This window comes from Homo sapiens, chromosome 18 (genome assembly GCF_000001405.40).
Source record: "Homo sapiens chromosome 18, GRCh38.p14 Primary Assembly".
In the NCBI taxonomy this organism is placed as follows: Eukaryota; Metazoa; Chordata; class Mammalia; order Primates; family Hominidae; genus Homo; species Homo sapiens.
In genome coordinates, this window is record NC_000018.10 from 34,117,843 (window position 1) to 34,144,236 (window position 26,394).

General features: G+C 34.3%; 1 protein-coding gene across 29 annotated transcripts in view; it reads right to left on the reverse strand.

Moving 5' to 3' along the window:
- NOL4 (nucleolar protein 4) overlaps positions 1–26,394 on the reverse strand; it is a 373,814-nt gene that overhangs the window by 266,743 nt on the left and 80,677 nt on the right. For 20 of the 29 annotated variants that reach the window (XR_935261.4, XM_047437902.1, XM_047437901.1 and 17 more), the window contains one exon: positions 12,029–12,178. Coding sequence is in view for 18 of the 29 variants with exons in the window: in XM_047437902.1 (XP_047293858.1) it covers positions 12,029–12,178 (150 nt within the window). In the remaining 11 variants the exon portion in view is untranslated. Of the gene's footprint in view, positions 1–3,391; positions 3,859–11,006; positions 11,070–12,028; positions 12,179–12,413; positions 12,498–26,394 lie in introns of those variants that run through there. The other 9 variants (NM_001384472.1, NM_001353237.1, NM_001282527.2 and 6 more) reach the window with 6 other exon arrangements.

Genomic DNA, 26,394 nt, shown 5'->3' on the forward strand with positions numbered 1-26,394 from the left:
CTAATGTGCGAGCTGAAATAAAGCCATCACATAACGTTGGCAAATCATGAGTAGTAACAATCACTTTATAAAGCAAGCAAACAAAAATAAGCTAATCAAAAGATTTATCAACCAAAATTATACAATTTTAACCTAAATTCACTAGTGTAATAAAAAAATGATGAGTGTTCCTAAATATCAGTAGTTTGAAAATGTAACTTGGTGCTTTGGTATATTGTGCTCCTTTTCAGATACTGAACTTTAGAGCAAACAATAATTAATATAATCACACAAATTTTTAAAATCACCTTTCTCCACCTTTTGTTTTTAAAATGAATTTAGAGAATAGCAATAATGGCTTTATTTAACTAGAATAATTATATGGACACCATAGTTTTTGGCAAATATCAAACTGTATGTACCTAAAAGAATTTGCCCTTAAGGCCAAACTTCTGACATTTTCTCTTATCAATATCCTGCAGATCATGGATAAAGAATAAATTAGAAATAATCTCCTAGTGAAATTTTTTTATCTTACTAGATTTGAGAAAATTTGTATCACAAACCCTCTGCAATATATGTAACTAAATTAAGATATAGAAAATTTATTTGTAAAACATAAAATTGAAATTAAATTGAACAGAGCCTATAAATCCAAATGTTATTAAAAGCCTGTGTGTCCTGATTCATAAACATATAGAACACCAAACTCCAGAGCGGCCTCTATCTGAGGAAAATAAATCTAGGCTCTATGCATATCTTCAATTCAAGGAACATCTGTCTTTTTCTGTTTTATATATTGAATATCTTTGCATTTAGGACTTTACAAGGTATGCAATCACTGTCACATTTGAGCCCAAGTGGAATATAATGTGATAACTTACATTAGCTATGACTTTGATAGTTTTCTAGATGTGTTATAAAATTGAAATGCTCAGACAATAATTTTCTTTTCTATTAAAATATATTTTAACCCATTTGTCCATGAAAAAGGATTAGCAGTGTACATCATTGTACTACTGCAGAGGAAATAATTAATTTGCAGAGATGTGTAAGGAAACAGTCTTGCAAAGATAAAGACATTTTCAACTACATATTTATTTATTCAGCAAATATCTATTGAATGCATAGGCACCATAATTACCCCTGAATACTACTCAATATGGTTCTACAGCATTAATGTGCCTGGATATATCAAATTATTGGAATTATCTATTGGTAGTTATTTGATTAGTTTCAAAGCAACTCTGAAAAAGGCTTTAATCAGGACTCAAAAAGAAAACTCTCAGATAAAAAGTTCTTGTCTAGCAACAATCAGTTAGACAAAAGACAGACATACTGGCCTGCCTAAACAAATTTGTAATCACTGTATCTCTCAAAAATTTTTGCTTCGGAATCCTAACTACTTATCTATCTATAGATAGAGTATCTATCTGACCTTTGAATGCCTGTTAAAGACCAGAAGAATTCCTGTGCCTAAATGATGTTTCCAATAGCAAAACCAGGAAACTGCCAGATTTGCACAATCACCCCCAAATCCCCATACTCCCTGGTGGAGGATTCTTATGTTTTCTTTGAGTTCCTATCAATCCTGCAGTACTGCTTGTTTTGCCATGACTCAGGCAATATTAGCATTACTCCAATGCACCATTTGTAGAAAAGCACTGCCCACATTTTCTTTTTCTCCCTTCTTCTCTGATCATGTTCTCCCTCAGTCTTCCCACCCGTTCATCTACCCTTCCCTTTTTTACCTAGTTGAGATGGGTGATCTAGCCCAGTCAGGAGTATCTGGGTTATTTTTTTTATTTTTATTTTTTTGAAAAGGAGTCTCGCTCTGTCGCCCACGCTGGAGTGCAGTGGCGCGATCTCGGCTCACTGCCAGCTCCACTTCCTGGGTTCACGCCATTCTCCTGCCTCAGCCTCCCCAGTAGCTAGGACTACAGGCGCCCGCCACCACGCCTGGCTAATTTTTTTGTACTTTTAGTAGAGACGGGGTTTCACAGTGTTAGCCAGGATGGTCTGGATCTCCTGACCTCGTGATCCACCCGCCTCGGCCTCCCAAAGTGCTGGGATTACAGGCTTAAGCCACCGCGCCCGGCCTGATTTTTAAATAGGATTAAGTTTGCTAGATAAAATATAAGACACCTAGTTCAGTTTGAATTCTAGATAAACATACAATATTGGAGCCAAACGTATTACAAACTATTGTTTATCTGAAATTCAAATATAACTGGTTATCCTGTGTGTGTTAAATCTAGCAGCCTTAAAGACTATATTTATCTAATATGAATGAAAATATTGGCTTGAGTCTGAAGGTAATTTTAACTTTGGAAAAAATTGTTATGTCAGGAAAATCTAAGGATATACCAAAAGCAGAAGTGATAGGGTAGGTGGAAGCAATTATTGGAGAGTCTGCAGGCAGCTTGAAATCATAGTGCCTATTTAAAGCAAGGCTTTCCAACATTCTATATCGACAGCACAGGTATACATACATTTTACATCATAAGCTAGCACATATACACACTCATAAAATCAAACTGATCATTTCTATTCTCTTCTCTATTTCATTTTTAAAAGTGATCACAGCCCACTAAATTAACTTGATGAGTCATAAATGGATTATGACATCTAATAAAAAAACACTGTTCTAAAGCAGAGGAATGCACTCTGTCCATCCAAAGTTATTTTGTGGTGCTGAGAATTTGATGAGTATGTGGTCAAATTTACAATAAAAGTAGGCAAATCTGAAGAAGGTATAAAGCAGGCAGGAGTATTTTTAGATAGTTCAAGTCAGTTTTTCAGACGGATAAAAACAATTTGGAGATTTGAGGCAAATGCATTCAACACAGAGTAAAAGAAATGAAAAGTGAATGTGCTACAGAGGTAGGAAGTCAGTATTCTCCAAAGATAGGGAAATGGTACAAGTGCTAGACCAGAGGCAAAAACAGCTTAAAAGAAGGCAAAGCATTTCACCATATGATATAAAGAAACTAGAGGAGGAAAACATATACAGGTAGCAGCATTCTAGGGCACCATCAGATGAATTTGGTACTATATCAGTATACATTAGTAGACTGAAGTTAATCAAGCAGAAAATAGAAAGTGGTTTATGTTAAATTATAATTAATTTTCAAAGCACTGAGATCACAGGCATGTGCCACCACATTCAGCTGTTATTTCTTATGATTGAATATTTGGCTGCTAAGGAAAAGATTGTCATAACAGAGAATTCTTATATTAGATGAAAAAATAAGTAGATGGGCAATGAAAAAGATCTTTTTCATACATGTTCACTATTCATAAAATAAAGAGAATTCCTAAATATTGCATTAAATAAGATAACTCAGCAAAGTCATTGTTTATAGAATTACTTGTGACATGAAGAATTACATTAAAAGACACAAGTACTTACATGGGAGTGTGGAAAACCTCTTCCTGTCTTGATTTTTCCTGAAGAGTATGTGTAATATGATACATTTATATTTCCCTTGGGCCCTAGGGGAGAACCACAAAGAATGCCACTTTTCTGGTCTAGAGTTCATTGGCATGTTCAAAACCTCCTAGACTTCTGTTGCAACTCCCCTTGTTAAAGTTTACCTTTCTTACACACTGCTGGTCTGTGGGGAGCAAGCATTTCTTTTTGAACACATATCCAAGAATACAGTTGCTGTAGCCACTCAAAGCAGGCAATAATTAGCCATCTTAGGGAGACAGAGAAAGACGGCGAAGATTTCACTTCATTCTGTTAGGGACTCCAGTAATTTGCATATCGTTCATGTATTTATGCAAGAGGCAAAGTGCAGAGTCTGTGAGATGACGACAGTGCACTATGGTTGCAGAATCAGTTGTCTGAATTATTGAATTGCTAAACAACTGGCAAATAAGAAACACATTTTTCAAAGGTACCAAGGAGAGAACTGGCTATGTGGTTTCCTTTATAAAATGTCTCTCAACTGGGAGTGTTTACTGTTCTCACTAGGTGACTTTTGCAAATAGAGAACAAGAAGGCATTTTGGTTATTACAGTATCTGGGGTTTGGTGGTGCTGAAAGTTAACATATTATGGGATATCAAAAGGCCTGGAGTACTTGGGACAATGCCACCTGTCTGCCCCTAAGGCCTATATAGCCCAATTGAGAGATAACACTTTAGACTATGTAAATAATTAGACACTAATGAATATATCTGACCAAATATATCACGTCTATGTATTATCTATTGATAAGAAAAAGCACAGAAAGATAGAAATTTCCTGTTCCAAATTCCAAATTCTCAGAAGAGCAACTAGGTTACTGACTCAGTTTCTTTCAGAATTCACCCGTAACCAAAGAACTAAATTCAGCTGAGGAAAGTGTTCACTCTGAGAGGACATTCCCAGGAAAATGAGGGTGGAGGGGGAAATGGGGAGCAGAAGAGATAGATGGATAAAAATAGGTAAAAGCTGGTTCTTTACTTATCATAAGACAACTAAGTCTGCTGCTCATAAAGCTAGTTAATAATATTCTCAAATTTATGAGAAAATCATAAATGAAGACATGGGTGGGTGTTATCCATAGGTCACTAAGGAGAATAGTAGACACAAAAAAAGAAGTAAGCTTTTCATTACCTGATTAAGAGGGGGAAAAAAGCAATTTAGAACATCTGTTACCCCAAAAACAACTCCATATTAAAAGAAAAAAACCATCTTTCTAGTCACATTATTATAATATCTATAGTGTTTGAAGCAATTATTATGTTAAAACTTTACCTATATTATTTATGGCCCTAAAAACAACCCTACAAAATAATAACATGCCAACATCACACATGTAGAACTTACACTATCAAGATTTAAACTCAAGTCTAGTTGGCATCAAAGCTGGACCATTCTGTCTCCACAATCTCATGCCAGTCTCCCATGTCTTACATCTCCTTGCTATTATACTCATTGCAAATTCATTACCTATATAGTTATTTATACAGGTGCATACATGCAGGCACTTTAAGAAATTTGGTCATTTTATTTTTTTTTACACTATCAGAGTAGCAAGGAAAACAAACCTCTCGATCTGAGTGAGAATCACCCACTAGGAGGCATTAACCAGCTACTTTTTAAAGCCGCATTGGCTCCTTTTCACCACTAGGGAGCACTAAAGTAGTAATTTACTAGGCTGTCATAAACAACTAATGAAGTTTCTCCAAAAGGTAAATTATATTTCAAAGAATATTCACTGGGATATTATAATTTAATATAAAAATTATTGATGATGTGGTGTGTGACACTAGCTGATGATAAACTTCTTTGGATAAGCTCTTACGTCTTTTTTTTTTTTTTGTCTCCACTACCAAGAAGACAGCTTCTGAATCTTAACAGATTTGCAGTATTACTCTGGCCACTGCGGTGAGCAACTACACCTATATGAGATATATAATTCAATTTTAATGAATGGCAGTAAGCTATTCTTTTGTTTTAGGATTGCTAGTTAATAAATTTAATTATCATGCTGAATTATTTTTAACTGTTTCCTTCTGAGATGTTGTACACATCTGACAATAATCTGAATAATATTCAGTAGCTGTAGCTAATATTTAGAAATCACTTGTGTAAAACCTATATATGTTTGTGTGGATATGGGGTGTGTGTGTATGTGTGTAACTGATAAATAAACCAATGTGAAAAGTAATGTGTTTATATTCTACCTCAAATGAGATATCATTATATATGTGATAACCATATATATATATATATATATATATATATGGTTCTCTATATATATATGAGAATATATATAGAGAGATAGATCTACATCTTTCTATATTTATATCTATATAGATACAGAGAGATATACCTACATATGTATATATAGATATGTATCTATATATCTAATAGATATATATGTATATATAGAGAGATAGATGGATACATATATGTCTATATAGATATAGAAAGACATAGATCTATTTATCTATAGATAGCTATAGATATATCTAGATATTTTATATTTATATAGAGAGACATAAAGCAAAATAACCTAACAAAATTATCTGTAAAATATCTACATTTGAGTGCTATTTTATACTGATAAACTCTCTAAGGTAAACTAGCTATAAAATACAATTCTAGATCACAAATTTATTGTGTAACAGTGTAAATTATTAATGAGTTCAATACTGGACAAAGTTTACCAAAAATTTGAACTTGGAATAGTTCATTTAAAGTTTTTCTATCTCTGTTAGACATCCAGAACAGCAGCTTATTTAAGGTACTCTAGTTTGTAATAATAAAATGGGGAAAAAACAATGCATCTGTATTAAAAAGGCAGGAACCTATATTTGTCTGTTGTGTTATTTTGCCTTAATTTTCTTTCTACATTAAAGCATTTGGCTACAGAAATGAAATTAAGTTCTAAGCCTGATAGAGATTTTCTTAGCCCCTCTGCTTCAAAGACAATCTATACTTGCACTAAGATCCGTGGCAAGAAAGGGAAAAATTCATAATAGTAAAAAGAAGTGAAAGAGACTCAAACACACAGTATTTTTATATTCTATGAGTGAATTGTGCCTAGAGAGTATTTTTTTCTAAGAAATGTATGTAATTCTCAGTTTTTCATTTAATGATATTCATTTATTTCAAAATATACTCCAACATTTTTAAATATTTTGAATAGACATAGTTCCCCTTTTTTTGAAAATAAAGATTTTTCTGTGGAGTTTGCTGAGACTTCTTCCTCATCTTGATGACATGCTTCTTAACTTCTAACTGTCAAACACATACCAAACGCTATTAGGTGTGATGCCACATTAGGACTCATATAAGAATCAAGGCTTGATGCGATGGCTCATGCTTGTAATCCCAGCACTTTGGGAGGCCAAGGCAGGCGGATCACCTGACGTCAGGAGTTTGAGACCAGCCTGACCAACATGGTGAAACCCCATCTCTACTTAAAATACAAAAAAATTAACCAGCCATAGTGGTGAATGCCTGTAATTCCAGCAATTTGGGAGGCTGAGGCAGGAGAATCACTTGAACTCGGGAGGTGGAGGTTGCAGTGAGCTGAGATCATGCCATTTCACTCCAGTGTGGGCAATAAGAGCAAAACTGTCTCAAAAAAAAAAAAAAATCAGACAGGTCCTATGCTAACTGGGAGGTCAATAGATTGCTCTATGCCAATAACTCACATTTTCTTTCTATCTCACTCCTGACTTAAGTTAAATTTAGCTAGAGATGAGAGACAGAAACAAGTATGTTAAATGATCATATAAGGTATCAATGACTGCTGGCAGCTTAATTGATTCTCCACCTTCTCTTGCCTAATGATATTTGAATTTTATATAAAAATACAGGGGTCAATGGTTTAACCCAAATAGATTGAGTTCTAATTGTAAAACTTGAGGCACTATGACACAGAAGGAAAATGTGCTTGAGACCAAAGACTTCCTGGCATGAATCAAAAAGGTATGTAGATAAACCCCTATTTCAATACTGTTAAGATCTGCAAACTCTACAAACTCTGTCTTAGACTACAGAATTATATCATATATGTGAGTGAATTGTGGCCTATGCACAAAGAGGCTACATGAATTGTTCAGAATTCTTGAGTTTGACTTTAGTGCTACTTTTCCACACCATATGGCTGCAAATTTGGTTAATTAGTCCCATTATAAGTTGACAAAAATTCTGGGAATTTTTACATGACAAACTAGCAGAAACTGGTGCAAGTTAGAATATTCTATTTAGCAATAGAGACAGTGAACCAATAGATATTTATAAAAAGAACTAGGCAAAAAATAATGCTAACTAGGGTTTTAAGGTTAAGTGTCCTAGATATGATAGTATAAATATTTTCTTTATTAATGTTCGGAGTAAGGCTGTAGAGATTCTACATGAATATGTTACTATTCTACAGCATATCTCTGGAAAGGAATATTCCATTCATATTAAAAGCATTTTTTTAAAAAAAGAGACAATTTTATTTTTTTCCAGAAAATTAATTTGAAATTAGTTTAACAGATTTAATCTTTGGGAAAAGCAAATGAAATAACTGAAACTCTCACGAGTTTCATTTGGCAGGAGAGCTCCTAAACACAAGAACTCTGGCCTTTCCTCATGCTTTCTTATAAACCCAAACCGTGGACTTCCAGGGATAGTGACATCTACAGGATGCACCAAAAAAAAAAAAATGCCTGCATGAGAAGTTATTACTATTCCTGTCTACCAACACAGAGGCATTAGAGCGGGCCTAGGAAATTAGATCCATAATTGTAACTAGGGTAAATGATAGAGCTATGCTAATTTTGCTGCCTGTCCTTCTACGTGAAACATGAGTAGTGATTGGACAAAGAAGGAGAGAAGTAACACCAATCACAAGTTTACTATATGCCGAGCACTTTGCACATAGTAACTCATTCATTTTAGCACACAATGTATATCATTATCCACCATATAAAGAAAAAGAGTAAATAATTTGCCAAAAGTGGCACAGATACGAAATGAGTGTTAGATTTGAAATTTGAAACTGCGTTAGTCTGGCTTCCAGCCTATTTCCTTTTAGCTATAGCATATGTTCTCCACTCCTGACTTGAATGTAATTATTGGCAGTTATATATATGAGTAATACATATAAGTTTACAATATCACACTATGAGTTGTATGTGTGTATGTGTTTATACATAGATATATGCAGACTGTTTTCTCTATTGATAACACTGACTTTCCCTCTTAGTTCCTGGATTTCTACCAGTTAGTCTTATTTTACATGTAGCAAGAAAGAGCTTTGAAACTTAACCCTTTGATTAGTCCCTAATTTAAGAAATGTGTCTGAACTCGCTTACCCTGTGATATAATACAATTGATAAAAGAAAACCAGAAAACAGTGATGTATTCACAGAAAGTGAAGTTTTGGCAGAATTTGAGAAAAGTTAAACACTGGAAGACAAAACAGGGTCCCAAGTTATTTTTATAATGCCACATCATTAATTTTGAAGTGACTTTCCAAATTGCTAACCACATCTGCATTCAGATTATATTTTTTAGTAAAAGGATATATTTTAAGTTCAAACATGAGTGATATTGAGATGTCTACACCTCTTCTCCGTTTTGTTCATGTAGATAACCAAGAGTAGACTACAGACAAATATACTGAAACACATTCAATGTACCAGTAACAGTTAATATATACACAGATACAAATGCAATAAAGAGACCTAAGAGTCACTATAATTCAATAATGATTGAAAAAAAAATTATGATTGCCTTTACATATTCCTAAAATGTGTCATTTTGTGTGGGATTTTCAAGAGCTCATAAGAAATAATATATATACCCTCCAATTTTATCTAAAGTCAAATCAGATTACAATAAAGTTTAAGCTTTATAAATGCCTAGATATTTCAAGGAATGATATACTGCAGATAGAAAAAACAAATGCATTCAAAAGTTAATCCAACATTAAAGGACCACCATTTCCTGCAGAGTGAAAACATAGAAAGATTTGCAAAAAGGCAAAGTAAATAAAATGACCACTAGATCTATTGATAATATTGTTAAGACAGTATGATACACTTTAATGATTAGTTATATAAGTATGGTTTCTTGGCCATGTAGGAAAAAGGAGAAAAAGAAGGTCAATAAACATAATCATCATGCATGCTCTATAAGCTAATGTTTAAGAATTAGAAGAAATCTTAAACTTAATGGGAACCATTATAATTGCAATAGTTATCTAGCTAATCCTACCTATGACTAGCCAAATTCAGCATTAGTATTAAGAATTAAAGTCTGGCCCAACAGTCTATGGCCTTAATAGCACTAAACCGTTCTATTTCAAATCACATTTTAGTTTTATGCCTCATTAATTGAACACTTACATCAAATTTTAACATTAGACTTAAATTCATTGTAGAGTCACATGCACAGTTTCACTGGCATTGCAAGCAGTTCTATATTTTGTTTCTTTCCTATAATGAATTATTACTGCATAAAAAGGAAATGTTTCCCAATTAGAATTCAACTGAGAGAGATCAGAGGGAAAAAGTTTAGGCCAAAAAGAACCTTCATGGTATCAGGAAAAGGTGACAACACTTTAGATGTGCAAAGAAAAAACTTGGGAAAAGAGAGAATATTCAAATAGGACATTCTCAAGAGGGATTAGATAAGGTTTCAGATTCTGGACATACTTTCAAAGGTTATATCTCTACCCCAAAATGCAGAAAATGTCTTCCTAATGTTAATTCAAAATTGTGTACACTGGAAACATGTTTATCAATTTATTACAAGTGTTTAGCATGCATAATGGCAATGGATCAGATTCTCTACATTTCATTTAAGAAAACACAGGGCAAGAGATTTGGATTTAAATCATTGACTCATTTTGCATTTTGATTAAAGGTCTATAATAAATGCATTTCAAAGATTAAATTATTTTAAATTGCTTTTGGCACCTAAACAGATTTGGCTGCCACACTACTATTGACAACGAAACCACTTGATTTTTGCTTGTTATTTTGGTTTTTGTTTTTATTCATTTAATACAATTGAAATTATGCATCCCTAGCAAAGTCCTTTTACAAAGTCCTGTCGAGTTCAGGTAGCTATTTCATGAAAATGTATTATTATAAGATTACACAGTTAGTGATATTAGTAGATCAATATACATTTATTTTTTCCTATTACTGTCCAGAGGAATAGCCCTGGCTTAGGAGACAGGCAAAATGAGTATGTTCAGTAATGTTAGTCTATATAAAAATATCCCAAGAAGCTAGGCCATTATCATTAGTCATGAAAAGAATGTCTCCTGGAATGTGTAAGTCAAAAGAAAGTTTATGTGGCAGATTTATGTAAGGAAACTTACAATAGTGCCTGCCCACAAACCATGCAATTTGGAAACAGCCAAGAAACAAAACCATAGAGGAGGAGGGATAAATACAACATGTATTAGGGGTTATTATGCAACTACAAAGATTCAATATGACCCTGGAAATATAGCAAAAAATAGTTATGAAAAAGAAGCTATTTCTTATGCTCAGTAGCTAATTTTCAAACATAGGTACCTGTATTTGAAACTTTGAGCATTTCACACATTTTTCTGTATCTGAAAAAAAAATGGATCCAGACTGATATTGTATATCAATATAGCTGAAAACAGTTAATATAAAGGTAGCCAAAAGCAAAATTCAATAAGAATTCTCAAAAAGGATATTATTCTCATTGCTGACAAAGTAATTCGGATGCACATTTTGCTCATATAGGAGAAGAATAATTTACTGTTCAATTTTCCTAGACAGGATGAAATATCTATAGTAATATGATTTTATAAAGGTTTTAATTAAATAAAAAGCTAGATTAAAGTGTCTAGATCAAACTGTAGGTATAATTAGAAACTTTAGATTAATATATTACTCCATTTTGACACTATATATTTCGATATCTAGCAGTTAATTAAATCTGCTTTTTACAAAATTTATGACAAAAACATCATATACTTCCATTTTTAAACTTTCAAGGGCATTAGATCTATTACAATAACACATATCTTTTAATATTCTATCCTGGAAAATTAAGAAATACATACCCTTCAGGATAAATACATTGAATATAAGGAGACATAAGAAAAGTACATAAAATATTCCTCATGACTTTATTATTACTATGAACTAGAAAATACCTAAACATATTAATATGATTTGATGGAAAATAATTGTTGACAGTAGTGGTAGTATAAAAGTTCTTATGTTCCAGTCCATAATTCATATGCTATGACTCATTGAATATATAATATTCATAATATAATATATAATATATGTCCCCATTTGTGGACATTTGATTGGGACTACCACATATTATACATTTTTAAAGGCAACAATATGAAAATTCTAGAGACAGTTTTAAATTATATGAATAGACTAGTGAACATACAACCAAAATAATTATAGTTTAAATGTTGGGCATGACCATCATATGGCCTAATTTATGTTGAAGATAGAATATTTATAATTATCGAACCCATTTAAACAAGGATACATAATATCAAGTCTCGAAATGCATGCTCTTTTTTTTTTCTTTTTTAACTTACTGCTTTGTAAGTTCTCTTTTGTCCAGCGTGTTTCCGAATTTGTTCTCCATTTGGCCCCGTTTCCACATGCATCGAATAAATAATGTCAAAGAAATCTTCAACCACAGCTACCCGTCGTAAAGATAGCTTCTCATCTACCCCTACGCCATCCTGGAAACAAAACAACAACAACAAAAACCCATAAGATTAATAAACTAATTTGCATTTAATACACAAATTGTTTAAAACAAAATGTTTTTATAACCTCAACAAAATCATCTATATAGGAAACGTCAAAAATTCATGAATGAATATTTCAATATTTTATGCATTACTTACATACAGAACTTGGAAAAACATGAGAGAAGACATTTGGCATAGTTAATATTGAATAAATCATGCTTACCCATCAATTCCATCTTTTAAGTTTTTATAATGACTTATTTGTTGCCATCAGTACGATTTTCTTAAATTATTTTAAAATATATTTTGAGGCCCAGTAATTTTTTATTGTAATAATTAAATTCTAGATATTTATTAATTCATCCAAACAATATTGAGTTGCTGGGCCCTGGAAACTGTAATTCGAGAAATGAAAAAAATGATACAGAGTTATCCTAGGTTATTGCATAACCTAGGAAAGAAAACACATTTATTATTCTATCAGTATTGGTCTAAAGAACAATATGTGGTAAAGGTTAAAAACATGAGCTCTAGAAATTATCTATGTGAAATTTAGATCTTCTACTTGGAAGCAGCATATTTTGTGCAAATCACTTAAACTTCTCTAAATTTCAGTTTTTCTCTCCTATAAAATAAAGAGCCCACTACACAAAACTGTTGTAAGAATTAAATGAAATGACATATTTAAAGGATGTAATCCAATGTTTACCACATAATGAACCCTCAGTAAATGGTGGCTCTTGTCATTTTCAGGACCATGATAAAAATATGCAAAGTACTATAAGAATTAAGAGAAAATATCACCTTCTGTTGAAGTAGATTCCAGGAAGAAATATAATTTAACACAGGTTGGAGTTGGAGCCAGGCAAAAGCCATTTTGCTGGGAAGTACAGCAAAGAACAAAGAGTTTTCATGGATAATAGAGAGGAGTAAGAAATAAGTTTGGAATGAGATAATAAAGTTAATCTTACATGACTGCAACATGAAAGGGCTTCCTGCTTGCAAACACACACATACACATACACACACACACATACACCGACACACACACACACACACACACACACACACTTCTTATTTGGACCCTGTGATATAATTTGAAGTAACATAACATAGCCATTAACCCCAGCATACAGCACAAGAGAGTGATTAATCTGAGCAAAATCATTATGCAGTGAGATGGCAAGAGTTTATTTGAACAGTAACCCCAGCAGACTGAGCTCACTGCAAAAACAAAAGTAAGTCACCTGGTGCTTTCTGTTAGTTTTTTGTTATTTATTCATTTATTTTTCTGACATGGTAAGCCTTGTGAGTAGTGGTGGCTGAAGCAACATATTCAGACAACTATATATAGGAAATCACATGTTAGGTCAAAGAGCTAAAAACACAATTTCATATGCCTCCTCCTGACCTATCCCCTATACCTGAGAGAATAACCACCTTTCCTAGGCTGAAAACTCAAATTCTAACTGTACCCACTAGTAAAACCACCCATAAAACTTTGTCTTCTTTGTTCCCAGCCATGAAATTTGTACAGTCTCCAGCAAAGGAACTGAGAGGGTTCCTTTGCTGGAAAAACAAAAAATATGATAATCTTTTACACTTAGTCTGTATTTATTGTTTATGGGAATAAATATATATTTGTCCTTTAATTCATTCACATGTTCACTCATTTATCTAGCTAAATACTCAACTGTGAGTGATGTGGGGATCACAGCCTATTTACTCATTTTATCAATAAGTATTCAACAAGGCCCAGATACTACTAAACCCTCTGCTAGTAGCTGGAGTTAGCAAGATGTGTAAGACAGATAATTGAGGCATTTGTGAAGCTTACAGTTTAATGCAGAAAATAGGTATTAAAGAAATGGTTGCTAGGGTAGTATATTAATTTCTTATGGATTCTCTAACAACTTACTACAAAATGAGTGGTTTTCAAAAAGAGTACTTTATTTTCTCATAATCCTGGAGGCCAGAAGTCCAAAATCAAAATGTCCACAGAGCTATACTCTTTCTGGAAGCTCTAGGAGAGAACCCATTCTTTGCCTCTTCCAGCTTCTGGTGCTTTACAGCATTTCACAGCTTGAGGCTGCATTATATTACCATTGTCTCTTCTGTGCATCTCTCCTCTGCGTTTTTCTCTCTGGTGAGGACCCTTATGATGAGATTTAGAGCCTAATCAGATAATCCAAAGTAATCTTCTCAAGATGCTTAATAATATCTACAAAGGTCCTTATACCAAACAAGATAATGTTTACAAGTTTCAAGAATTAGGACTTGGTATCTTAGGGTGGCCATTATTCAACCAACTACCAATGGGTATGAGTTAGAGCACAGGAGATACAAATTGTGCCATAGGAGCATACATTTGAAAAGTTTCACAAGCATTTCTTAACAGTCAACATTGTCTCAAGAAATTGGAAGTTCAGTGTTTGTCAGGATAATATTAAAATCACATATTTGTGGAGGAAAATTGTCTATTATCTTCTTGTTATGTGGACCTGTTTACTCTCAACTATGATTTAAGCACAATACACCTGTACTCTATAAGTAAAAATCAAAAATGCCTTCAGAGGTTAGGTCTACCATATAAATCAGCCAAATATCATGAGTTAGACAGTAAGGTATAATTAAGTCATTCAGAAACTGGAAGAAATATATTTAATGAGCTTAGAGCTCAACAAACCCAAAGTTTCAAAAACGCAAAAAAAAAAAAAAAGTAAATAGACACAGTACAGTAGAAATTAAAACCAAAGGCAAAGACAAAAGTCTTGAAAGCACCAGGAGATAAAAGACACATCACATATAAGTTAACCCCAATTACAATTAACTTCGCAAAAGAAACAAAGGAGGTCAGAATGCAATGGGATGAAATATTCAAATTGCTAAATGTAAAAAACTGTCAACAAGGAATCTTATAGCCAGAGAAACCTATCTTTCAAAAATTAAGGTGAAGGCCAGATGCAGTGACTCACACCTGTAATCTCAGCAATTTGGGAGGAGGCAGAGGGGGGTGGATCACCTGAGGTCAGGAGTTCGAGACCAGCCTGACCAACATAGAGAAACTCCATCTCTACTAAAAATACAAAATTAGCTGGGTGTGGTGGTGCGTGCCTGTAATCCCAGCTACTTGGGAGGCTGAGGCAGGAGAATAGCTTGAACCTGGGAGGTGGAGGTTGCAGTGAGCCAAGATCACACCATTGCACTCCAGCTTGGGCAACAAGAGCAAAACTCCGTCTCAAAAAAAAAAAAAAAAAAAGTGAAATACACTATCCCAGATGAACAAAACTGAGAGAATTCAATGCTAGTAGACATAACATATGATAATAATGCTAAAGGAAGTTATTTGGGCTGAAGGTAAATGACATCAGACAGTAATTCAAATTCACATGAAAATATCCAGAACACCAGTAAAGGTAAAAATAATATAATATAATACAAATTAATATAATGTAATGTAATATATTAATGTTAAAGACAGTATAATTGCATATTTGTTCTTGAATGACTTCAAAGGCAACTGGATAAAACAATAGGTAATTGATTTATTGGAATAATAACATAGAGAAATGTAACACACTTGACAATAACAGAGAAAAGGGGCAGAAACAAAGGTGTATTGGAGTTTGGAGTAAGGAAATGATACCTTATGGTGATGCAGATCCACACATAGAAAGAAAGAGAACCAAAAAGGTCAAATAAGAAAGTTGGCCGGGCTCAGTGGCTCAGGCCTGTAATTCGAGCTCTTTGGGAGGCTAAGGAAGGCAGATCATGAGGTCAGGAGTTCAAGACCCGCCTGGCCAATATGGTGAAACCCCTTCTCTACTAAAAAATACAAAAGTTAGCTGGGCGTGGTGGCATGCACCTGTAGTCCCAGCTACTCAGGAGGCTGAGGCAGGAGAATCGCTTGAACCTGGGAGGTGTAGGTTGCAATGAGCTGAGATCACGCCACTGCACTCCAGCCCGAGCCACAGAGTGAGACTTCGCCTCAAAATATATATATACTTTTCTACTTTCTTCCCTCAGCTTCTTTAAAACACATAAGATTATAAACAGCAATAGTTATAACAATATATTGTTGTATTTTAACATATATAGATGTTTTACATGTGTGTGTCAGTTTTATGACTTATCAGCCATAGAACAAAATATATATCAGTCACAGAACAAAAAAGTGGGAAAAATATAGCTATATAAAATTAAAATTTCTTTACTTGGTTGTAACCAACATACTATATATCTGAAGTAGATTCTGATAATTTTGAATGTATATTGTATGCTCAAGAGCAACCACTAAAATATAATTTAAAAATATAATTAAAAAAGAGACTCATTTCATAGTAATAAAAAGTTCAACTCACCAGACAGACAAAACAACGATCAACATATATGGACCCAATAAGAGACTCCAAGTGACACACACACACACACACACACACACACACACACACACACACACACACATTGATGAAGCAAAAACAGAATTAAAGGGAGAAATAGACAATTCAACAATAATAGCTGGAAACGTAAAAGCTCACCTTCCAAAGTAGAACAATTAGGCAGAAGATATATAAAGAAATACAAGACTTGAACAATACTTAAAATTTAAAAAAAAACTAATAGACATACATAGAACACTCTACAAAACAGTAACACATTTTTCATGAGAGACCTCATGCTATCATAAAACAAGCCTCAATAAATTTAAGGGATTGAAAATATATTTTACATGTTTTATGACCAAAATGGAATTAAATTAGAAATTAATGACACAAGGATATTTGGGAAAACTACAAATATAAAGAAATTAACATACTTCTGAAAACTAATTGGTCAGACGAATCCAAAGGAAAACTAGAAATACTTTGAGATGAATGAAAACAAAGACACAACATGCCCAAACCAGTGCTAAATGCCTGTATTAAAAAATAAGAAAAATTTCAAATCAGACTTATCTTTTCACCTTAGTAACCAGAAAAAGAGTAAACTAAAATCGAGCAGAAGGGAGAGAATATGTAAAAACTTGATGTGAAACAAATGAAATGGAGAGTAGAAAACAATGGACAAAATCAGCAAAACTAAAAGGCAATATGTGAAAACAACTTTTTAAATGACAAAGTTTAAGCTCTACTTATATAAAAATGTAAAAAGAGGAGGGAAGACTCAAATTACTAAAATTAGGAATAAAAGAAGGATCATTATTGACCTTACAAAAATAAAAGAATCACAAAAACCCATAAACAAGTGTATGTCAACAAATTAGAATTAATAATATAAAATTAACAATTCCTAGAAAGACTTAAATTATTGATAATGGCTGACAAAAAATTTATAGGCCTATCACAAGTATAAAGACAAAATTAGTAATTAAAAAAGCTATTCACAGCGGGGTGCGGTGGCTCGTGCCTGTAATCCCTGCTCTTTGGAGGCTGAGACGGGTGGATCACGAGGTCAGAAGATCGAGATCATCCTCGCTAATACAGTGAAACCCTGTCTCTACTAAAAATACAAAAAATTAGCCAGGTGTGGCGGTGGGCGCCTGTAGTGCCCGCTACTTGGGAGGCTGAGGCAGGAGAATGGCATGAACCTGGGAGGCCAGAGCTTGCAGTGAGCCAAGATCACACCACTGCACTCCAGCCTGGGCGACAGAGTGAGACTCCATCTCAAAAAAAAAAAAAAGCTTTTCACACACAGAAGCAGCCCAGGCCCAGACAGCCTCACTGAACCAAACATTCAAAGAATCAATGGAATTCATCACAAACTCTTTTAAAGCAATAGGTGACAAAACACTTCCCAAATTATCCAATGAGGCCAGCATTATCTTGATACAAAAATCAAATATATCACAGGATAAAAAAGATATACAAAACAATATATTTTATGAATATAGATACAAAAATCCTCAATAAAGTACTAGCAAACCAAATCCAACCACATTTACAAGTTATTATATACCACAGTCAAGTAGGATTATCCCAGGAATGCAAGGTTAGTTTAATACAATGAAATGAATTAATTTAATATATCATATTAATACAATAAAGGACACAAGCATATTATTATTTCCATAGATCCAGGAAAAAACTCATTTGACAAAAGCCAACATACTTCCCTGACAAAAATTCTAAGTAAATTAGGAATAGAAAGGAATTTCCTCAACTTCATGAGGGACATCTACAAAAACCTCCCACAACTAACATCTTATTTAATTGTGAGAGACTGAATGCTTTCCTCCTAAAAATAAAAGCCAAACAAGAATGTGTGCTCTAGCCACATCTATTTAACATCATACTGGTGAATCTAGCCAGGAAAATTAATCAGGGAAAAGACAGAAAATACACCAAATTGGAAAGGAAGAAGTAAAAATATCTTTGTAGATGCTTTGTGTGTCACGAATGACATGATCTCATATATAGAAAATTCTAAGGAATCCATTAAAAAACTGTTAGAACTAATAAATGAGTTCCAGTCAATATTAAAAATCAATTGTAGTTTTTATTAGCAATGAACAATCTGAAAATGAAGGGGGAAAAATAATTTCTTTTATAAGGGTTTCAAAACACTAAAATACTTAGGAATAATTTAGATATAATGTTAAAAAAGGTGTAAGACTTATACACTGAACATTATAAAACATTGCTGAAAATATTTAATATGAGCTAAATAAACTGAAATACACCTTACGTTTATAGACTAGAAGACAATATAAACCTTATTTTGCAGGATCATTGAAATCACTACCAAAATTCCAAATAGCTTTTCATGAAAATTGACAAGTTGGCCTTAAAATTTATATGTAAATTCAAGGAAACGAGATTAGCCAAAATAGCCTTTAAAAAAAAGAAATTCGGAGTTCATACACTTCTTAATTTCAAAGCTTACTACACTAAAGTCTTTATTAGATAGTGTGGTATTGGCATGTGAATTGACATATAGATCAGTGGAATAAAATTGAGACTTCAGAAATAAAGCCTTCCATTTATTCAGTTCATCTTCAAAAGACATGTCAAAACAATGCAGTAGGAAAAGAATTTAACAAATAATGCCAGGACAACTATATACCCAAATGAAAAGGAATAGTCAGGTCCCTACCTCAACCCATACATAAAAATTAAATTAAATGATCAATGTAAATGTAAGAGCTAAAACTCAAAATTTGTACAAGGTTACACAGAAGTAAATGTTTGTAACCTTGGGTAACGCAAAGTCCTCATAACTGTCAAAATTAAAAGCAACAAAAGGAAAAATTATAAATTGAACTACAAAAATATTTAAAATGTTTATGATGCAAATAATACCACCAGAAAGTGAAATGACATCTCATACAAATGGGAGAAAATATTTGGAAATCATATACCTAATAAAGGACTTACATCCATAATATATGAAAACACAACTCAGTAATAGAAAGTCAAATAACCCAATTTAAAAACTGTTAAAGAATTTGAACAGACATTTCTCCAAAAAGATGTTTAAATGACAAACAAGCACAAGAAAAAATGCTTAATATAATTCGTGATTAGATAAATGCAAATCAAAATAACAATGAAACACTACTTCACATGCACTAGGATTGCTATATTAAATAACAAGTATTGGCAAGGATCTGGAAAAACTGGAATCCTCATACATTGCTGGTGGGAATGCAAAATAATGCAGTTGCTTTGAAAACAGACTGGCAGTAACAAAAAGTTAAACATAGACTTACCAGACGACTTGGTAAGCCAAAATCATGTATATACGAAATACACACACACACACACACACACACACACACGCACGCACACATACACACATTCAAAAGGAATAAGTTCACCCAAAATATATTATACATGAATATTAATAGTAGCATATGTGTAATATCCAAAAAGTGGGAACTCAAATGTCCATGAACTGAAAAATGTATAAGCAAAATGTGGCATAACCATACAAAGGAATATCTTTCTACCATAAAGAGAAATAAGTACTGATTCATCCATGGATAAACCTTGAAGACATTAAGTTTCATGAAAGAGGCCAGACATAAAAGACCACATATTGTATGATTCAATTCATATGAAATGTAGAAAATAGGCAAATGTATATAGATAGAAATAGGGCCAGATGTGGTGGCTCATGCCTGTAATCCCAGTGCTTTGGGAGGCTGCAGAAGGTGGATCTCTTGAGCCCAAGAGTTTTAGACATAGTGAGACCCTCATCACTATAAAAAATATAAATAAATTGGCTGGGCATGGTGACACATGCCTGTAGTCCCAGATGCTCAGGAGGCTGAGGTTGTAGGATCACTTGAGCCCATAAGGTTGAAGCTGCAGTGAGTCGTGATTGTGTCCCTGCATTTCAGCCTTAGCAACAGGGTGAGAAACTACCTCAAAAAAATAAAAATAAAAATAATGACAGTAGTTTATTGCTTATTTAGAACTGGGGAGGAGAAAAAAATAAGGACTGGCTGTTAATAGCCACAAAGTATCTTTTAGGAGGGACAAAATGTTCCAAAATTAGAGGATGGTGGTTCTACAACGTTCTGAACACACTAAAAATATTGAATTATACACTTTATATGATTACTTTTATAATATGTGAGTTCTGCAAACAGGGACAATTTGACTTCCTCTTTTCCTAATTGAATACCCTTTATTTCTTTCTCCTGCCTGATTGCCCTGGCCAGAACTTCCAAGACTATGTTGAATAGGAGTGGTGAGAGAGGGCATCCCTGTCTTGTGCCAGTTTTCAAAGGGAATACTTCCAGTTTTTGCCCATTCAGTATCATATTGGCTGTGGGTTTGTCATAAATAGCTCTTATTATTTTGAGATATGTCCCATCAATACCTAATTTATTGAGAGTTTTTAGCATGAAGGGCTGTTGAATTTTATCAAAGGCCTTTTCTGCATCTATTGAGATAAACATGTGGCTTTTGTCTTTGGTTCTGTTTATATGCTGGATTACATTTATTGATTTGCATATGTTGAAGCAGCCTTGCATCCCAGGGATGAAGCCCACTTGATTATGGTGGATAAGCTTTTTGATGTGCTGCTGGATTTGAATTGCCAGTATTTTATTGAGGATTTTTGCATCGATGTTTATCAGGGATATTGGTCTAAAATTCTCCTTTTTTGTTGTGTCTCTGCCAGGCTTTGGTATCAGGATGATGCTGGTCTCATAAAATGAGTTAGGGAGGATTCCCTCTTTTTCTATTGATTGGAATAGTTCCAGAAGGAATGGTACCAGCTCCTCCTTGTACCTCTAGTAGAATTCGGCTGTGAATCTGTCTGGTCCTGGACTTTTTTTGGTTGGTAAGCTATTAATTATTGCATCAATTTCAGAGCCTGTTCTTGGTCTATTCAGAGATTCAACTTCTTCCTGGTTTAGTCTTGGGAGGGTGTATGTGTCCAGGAATTTATCTATTTCTTCTAGATTTTCTAGTTTATTTGCATAGAGGTGTTTATAGTATTCTCTGATGGTAGTTTGTATTTCTGTGGGATCAGTGGTGATCTCCCCTTTATCATTTTTTATTGCGTCTATTTGATTCTTCTCTCTTTTCTTCTTTATTAGTCTTGCTAGCGCTCTATCAATTTTGTTCATCTTTTTAAAAAACCAGCTCCTGGATTCATTGATTTTTTGGAGGGTTTTTTTGTGTCTCTATATCCTTCAGTTCCGCTCTGATCTTAGTTATTTGTTGCCTTCTGCTAGCTTTTGAATGTGTTTGCTCTTGCTTCTCTAGTTCTTTTAATTGTGATGTTAGGGTGTCAATTTTAGATCTTTCCTGCTTTCTCTTGTGGGCATTTAGTGCTATAAACTTCCCTCTACACACTGCTTTAAATGTGTCCCAGAGATTCTGGTATATTGTGTCTTTGTTCTCATTGGTTTCCAAGAACATCTTTATTTCTGCCTTCATTTTGTTATGTACCCAGTAGTCATTCAGGAGCAGGTTGTTCGGTTTCCATGTAGTTGAGCAGTTTTAAGTGAGTTTCTTAATCCTGAGTTCTAGTTTGATTGCACTGTGGTCTGAGAGACAGTTTGCTATAATTTCTGTTCTTTTACATTTGCTGAGGAGTGCTTTACTTCCAACTATGTGGTCAATTTTGGAATAAGTGTGATGTGGTGCTGAGAAGAATGTATATTCTGTTGATTTGGGGCAGAGAGTTCTGTAGATGTCTATTAGGTCTGCTTGGTGCAGAGCTGAGTTCGATTCCTGGATATCCTTGTTAACATTCTGTCCCGTTGATCTGTCTAATGTTGACAGTGGGGTGTTAAATTCTCCAACTATTATTGTGTGGGAGTCTCAGTCTCTTTGTATGTCTCTAAGGACTTGCTTTATGAATCTGGGTGCTCCTGTATTGGGTGCATATATATTTAGGATAGTTAGCCCTTCTTGTTGAATTGATCCCTTTACCATTATGTAATGGCCTTCTTTGTCTCTTTTGATCTTTGTTGGTTTAAGGTCTGTTTTATCAGAGACTAGGATTGCAACCCCTGCCTTTTTTTGTTTTCCATTTGCTTGGTAGATCTTCCTCCATCCCTTTATTTTGAGCCTATGTGTGTCTCTGCACATGAGATGGGTCTCCTGAATAGAGCACACTGATGGGTCTTGACTCTGTATCCAATTTGCCAGTCTGTGTCTTTTAATTGGAGCATTTAGCCCATTTACATTTAATGTTAATCTTGTTATGTGTGAATTTGATCCTGTCATTATGATGTTAGCTGGGTATATTGGTCGCTAGTTGATGCAGTTTCTTCCTAGCATCAGTGGTCTTTACAATTTGGCATGTTTTTGCAGTGGCTGATACTGGTTGTTCCTTTCCATGTTTAGCGCTTCCTTCAGGAGCTCTTGTAGGGCAGGCCTCATGGTGACAAAATCTCTCAGCATTTGCTTGTCTAACAATGACTGTATATCTAGAAAACCCCATTGTCTCAGCCCAAAATCTCCTTAAGCGCATAAGCAACTTCAGCAAAATCTCAGGATACAAAATCAATGTGCAAAAATCACAAGCATTCTTATACACCAATAATAGACAAACAGAGAGCCAAATCATGAATGAACTCCCATTCACAACTGCTTCAAAGAGAATAAAATACCTAGGAATCCAACTTACAAGGGAAGTGAAGGACCTCTTCAAGGAGAACTACAAACCACTGCTTAACGAAATAAAAGAGGACACAAACAAATGGAAGAACATTCCATGCTCATGGATAGGAAGAATCAATATCATGAAAATGGCCATACTGCCCAAGGTAATTTATAGATTCAATGCCATCCCCATCAAGCTACCAATGACTTTCTTCACAGAATTGGAAAAAACTACTTTAAAGTTCATATGGAACCAAAAAAGAGCCCGCATCACCAAGTCAATCCTAAGCCAAAAGAACAAAGCTGGAGGCATCACACTACCTGACTTCAAACTATACTATAAGGCTACAGTAACCAAAACAGCATGGTACTGGTACCAAAACAGAGATATAGACCAATGGAACAGAACAGAGCCCTCATAAATAATACCACACATCTACAACCATCTGATCTTTGACAAACCTGACAAAAACAAGAAATGGGGAAAGGTTCCCTATTTAATAAATGGTGCTGGGAAAACTGGCTAGCTATATGTAGAAAGCTGAAAGTGGATGCCTTCCTTACACCTTATACAAAAATTAATTCAAGATGGATTAAAGACTTAAATGTTAGACCTAAAACCATGAAAACCTTAGAAGAAAACCTAGGCAATACCATTCAGGACATAGGCATGGGCAAGGACTTCATGTCTAAAACACCAAAAGCAATGGCAACAAAAGCCAGAATTGACAAATGGGATCTAATTAAACTAAAGAGCTTCTGCACAGCAAAAGAAACTACCATCAGAGTGTACAGGCAACCTACAGAATGGGAAAATTTTTTGCAATCTACTCATCTGACAAAGGGCTAATATCCAGAATCTACAAAGAACTCAAACAAATTTACAAAAAAAACAAACAACCCCAACAAAAAGTGGGCAAAGGACATGAACAGACACTTCTCAAAAGAAGACATTTTTGCAGCCAACAGACACATGAAAAAATGCTCATCATCACTGGCCATCAGAGAAATGCAAATCAAAACCACAATGAGATACCATCTCAGACCAGTTAGAATGGTGATCATTAAAAAGTCAGGAAACAACAGGTGCTGGAGAGGATGTGGAGAAATAGGAACACTTCTAAGCTGTTGGCGGGACTGTAAACTAGTTCAACCACTGTGGAAGTCAGTGTGGCGATTCCTCAAGGATCTAGAACTAGAAATACCATTTGACCCAGCCATCCCATTACTGGGGATATACCCAAAGGATTATAAATCATGCTGCTATAAAGACATATGCACATGTATGTTTATTGTGGCACTATTCACAATAGCAAAGAATTGGAACCAACCCAAATGTCCATCAATGATAGACTGGATTAAGAAAATGTGGCACATATACACCATGGAATACTATGCAGCCATAAAAAATGATGAGTTCATGTCCTTTGTAGGGACATGGATGAAGCTGGAAACCATCATTCTCAGCAAACTATCGCAAGGACAAAAAACCAAACATCGCATGTTCTCACTCATAGATGGGAATTGAACAATGAGAACACTTGGACACAGGAAGGGGAACATCACACACTGGGGCCTGTTGTGGGGTGGGGGGAGGATGGAGGGATAGCTTTAGGAGATAAATCTAATGTAAATGACGAGTTAATGGGTGCAGCACACCAACATGGCACATGTATACATATGTAACAAACCTGCACGTTGTGCACATGTACCCTAGTACTTAAAGTCTAAATAAATAAATAAATAAGAAATATGCAATACAGTCGGCCCTTGGTATCTATGAATTCCACATCCACAGATTCAACTAACTGATAATCAAAAATATTCAGGAAAAATAACAGTACAATAAAAATATTACAAACCTTTAAAAAATGTGAGTTCTAGCTCAATAAAGCTGTTAAAATAAATAGTTGCTAATGGTTTTGGATTTTGAGTTCAAGGATGTAAAAATTAATAAAACGAGGAGGGAGGGGAAGGGAGGGGAGGGAAGGGAAGGGAAGCGAAGGGAAGGGAAGAAACCAAGTGGAGGAGCTCATGCAATCCAAATTCAAACAATCCACAATGTAGAGTAGAGTGCGGAGTGAAAACAGAAGTGGCTCAACCAATACTACAGTGGTGATTATGAGAGTGTGCTGGTAACTATTTAAGACTGTCTCTTGAAAACATACATAATACATAAGGTTATAAACAGTACTGATATAAAAGATGTGTAACATATAATTTATAAATAATAAAATATGTAATAACTCTTACTATAAACTTCATATAAGTGACCAATTCTCACAGAATACTTTCATTGATTTTTGCTGAACCCTTGTATATCTAGCCAACCTATGGTTTTGATTGAACTATGATATGGCAAATAAAACTCCATACAACTTTTGAATACTTTTCTCAATATTTTTTTGTAATTGATTTGGTATGTGATTTACTGTTAAATTATTTCTCACTCTTATACAAATTTTATTCATTAAACTGAAACTTCTGGCCTGGAGAGTTGGCTCAAGCCTGTAATCCTAGCACTTTGGGAGGCCGAGGCGGGTGGATCACTTGAGGTCAGCAGTTCGAGACCAGCCTGGCCAACATGGAAAGGCTGTTTCTGCTAAAGATACAAAAATTAGCCAGGTGTGGTGGCACGCACCTGTAATCCCAGCTACTCAGGAGGCTGAAGCAGGAGAATTGCTTGAACCTAGGGAGTGGAGGTTGCAGTGAGCCAAGATTGCACCACTTCACTCCAGCCTGGGCAAAAGAGCAAAACTCCATCTCAAAAAAAAAAAAAAAAAAAAAACCTGAAACTTCTTTCAGCTCTACTAAGACAATGGACAAAATCATAAATCTGTCCTGACTTATGTCATTTGCTAATTTCTATGTTGTATAAATACTTCTATCATTGCTTCTTTCAAGCTACCAGTGGGAAATCACTGAACGTGAAGTTGAAAAGAGAATCACAATAATCCTCCATTATATGGTATTTTCACCATAATGATACTATAAACCAGATGAACCACCTCAAGAGTATAGACAATACTACACTATATAAAAATAATTATTCATGACGAGTTTTGAGCACATATTCCCTTTTAATATTAATTACTTAATAAGTTTATATCATTCAACCTTTGGTAATTGCTGTGTTTC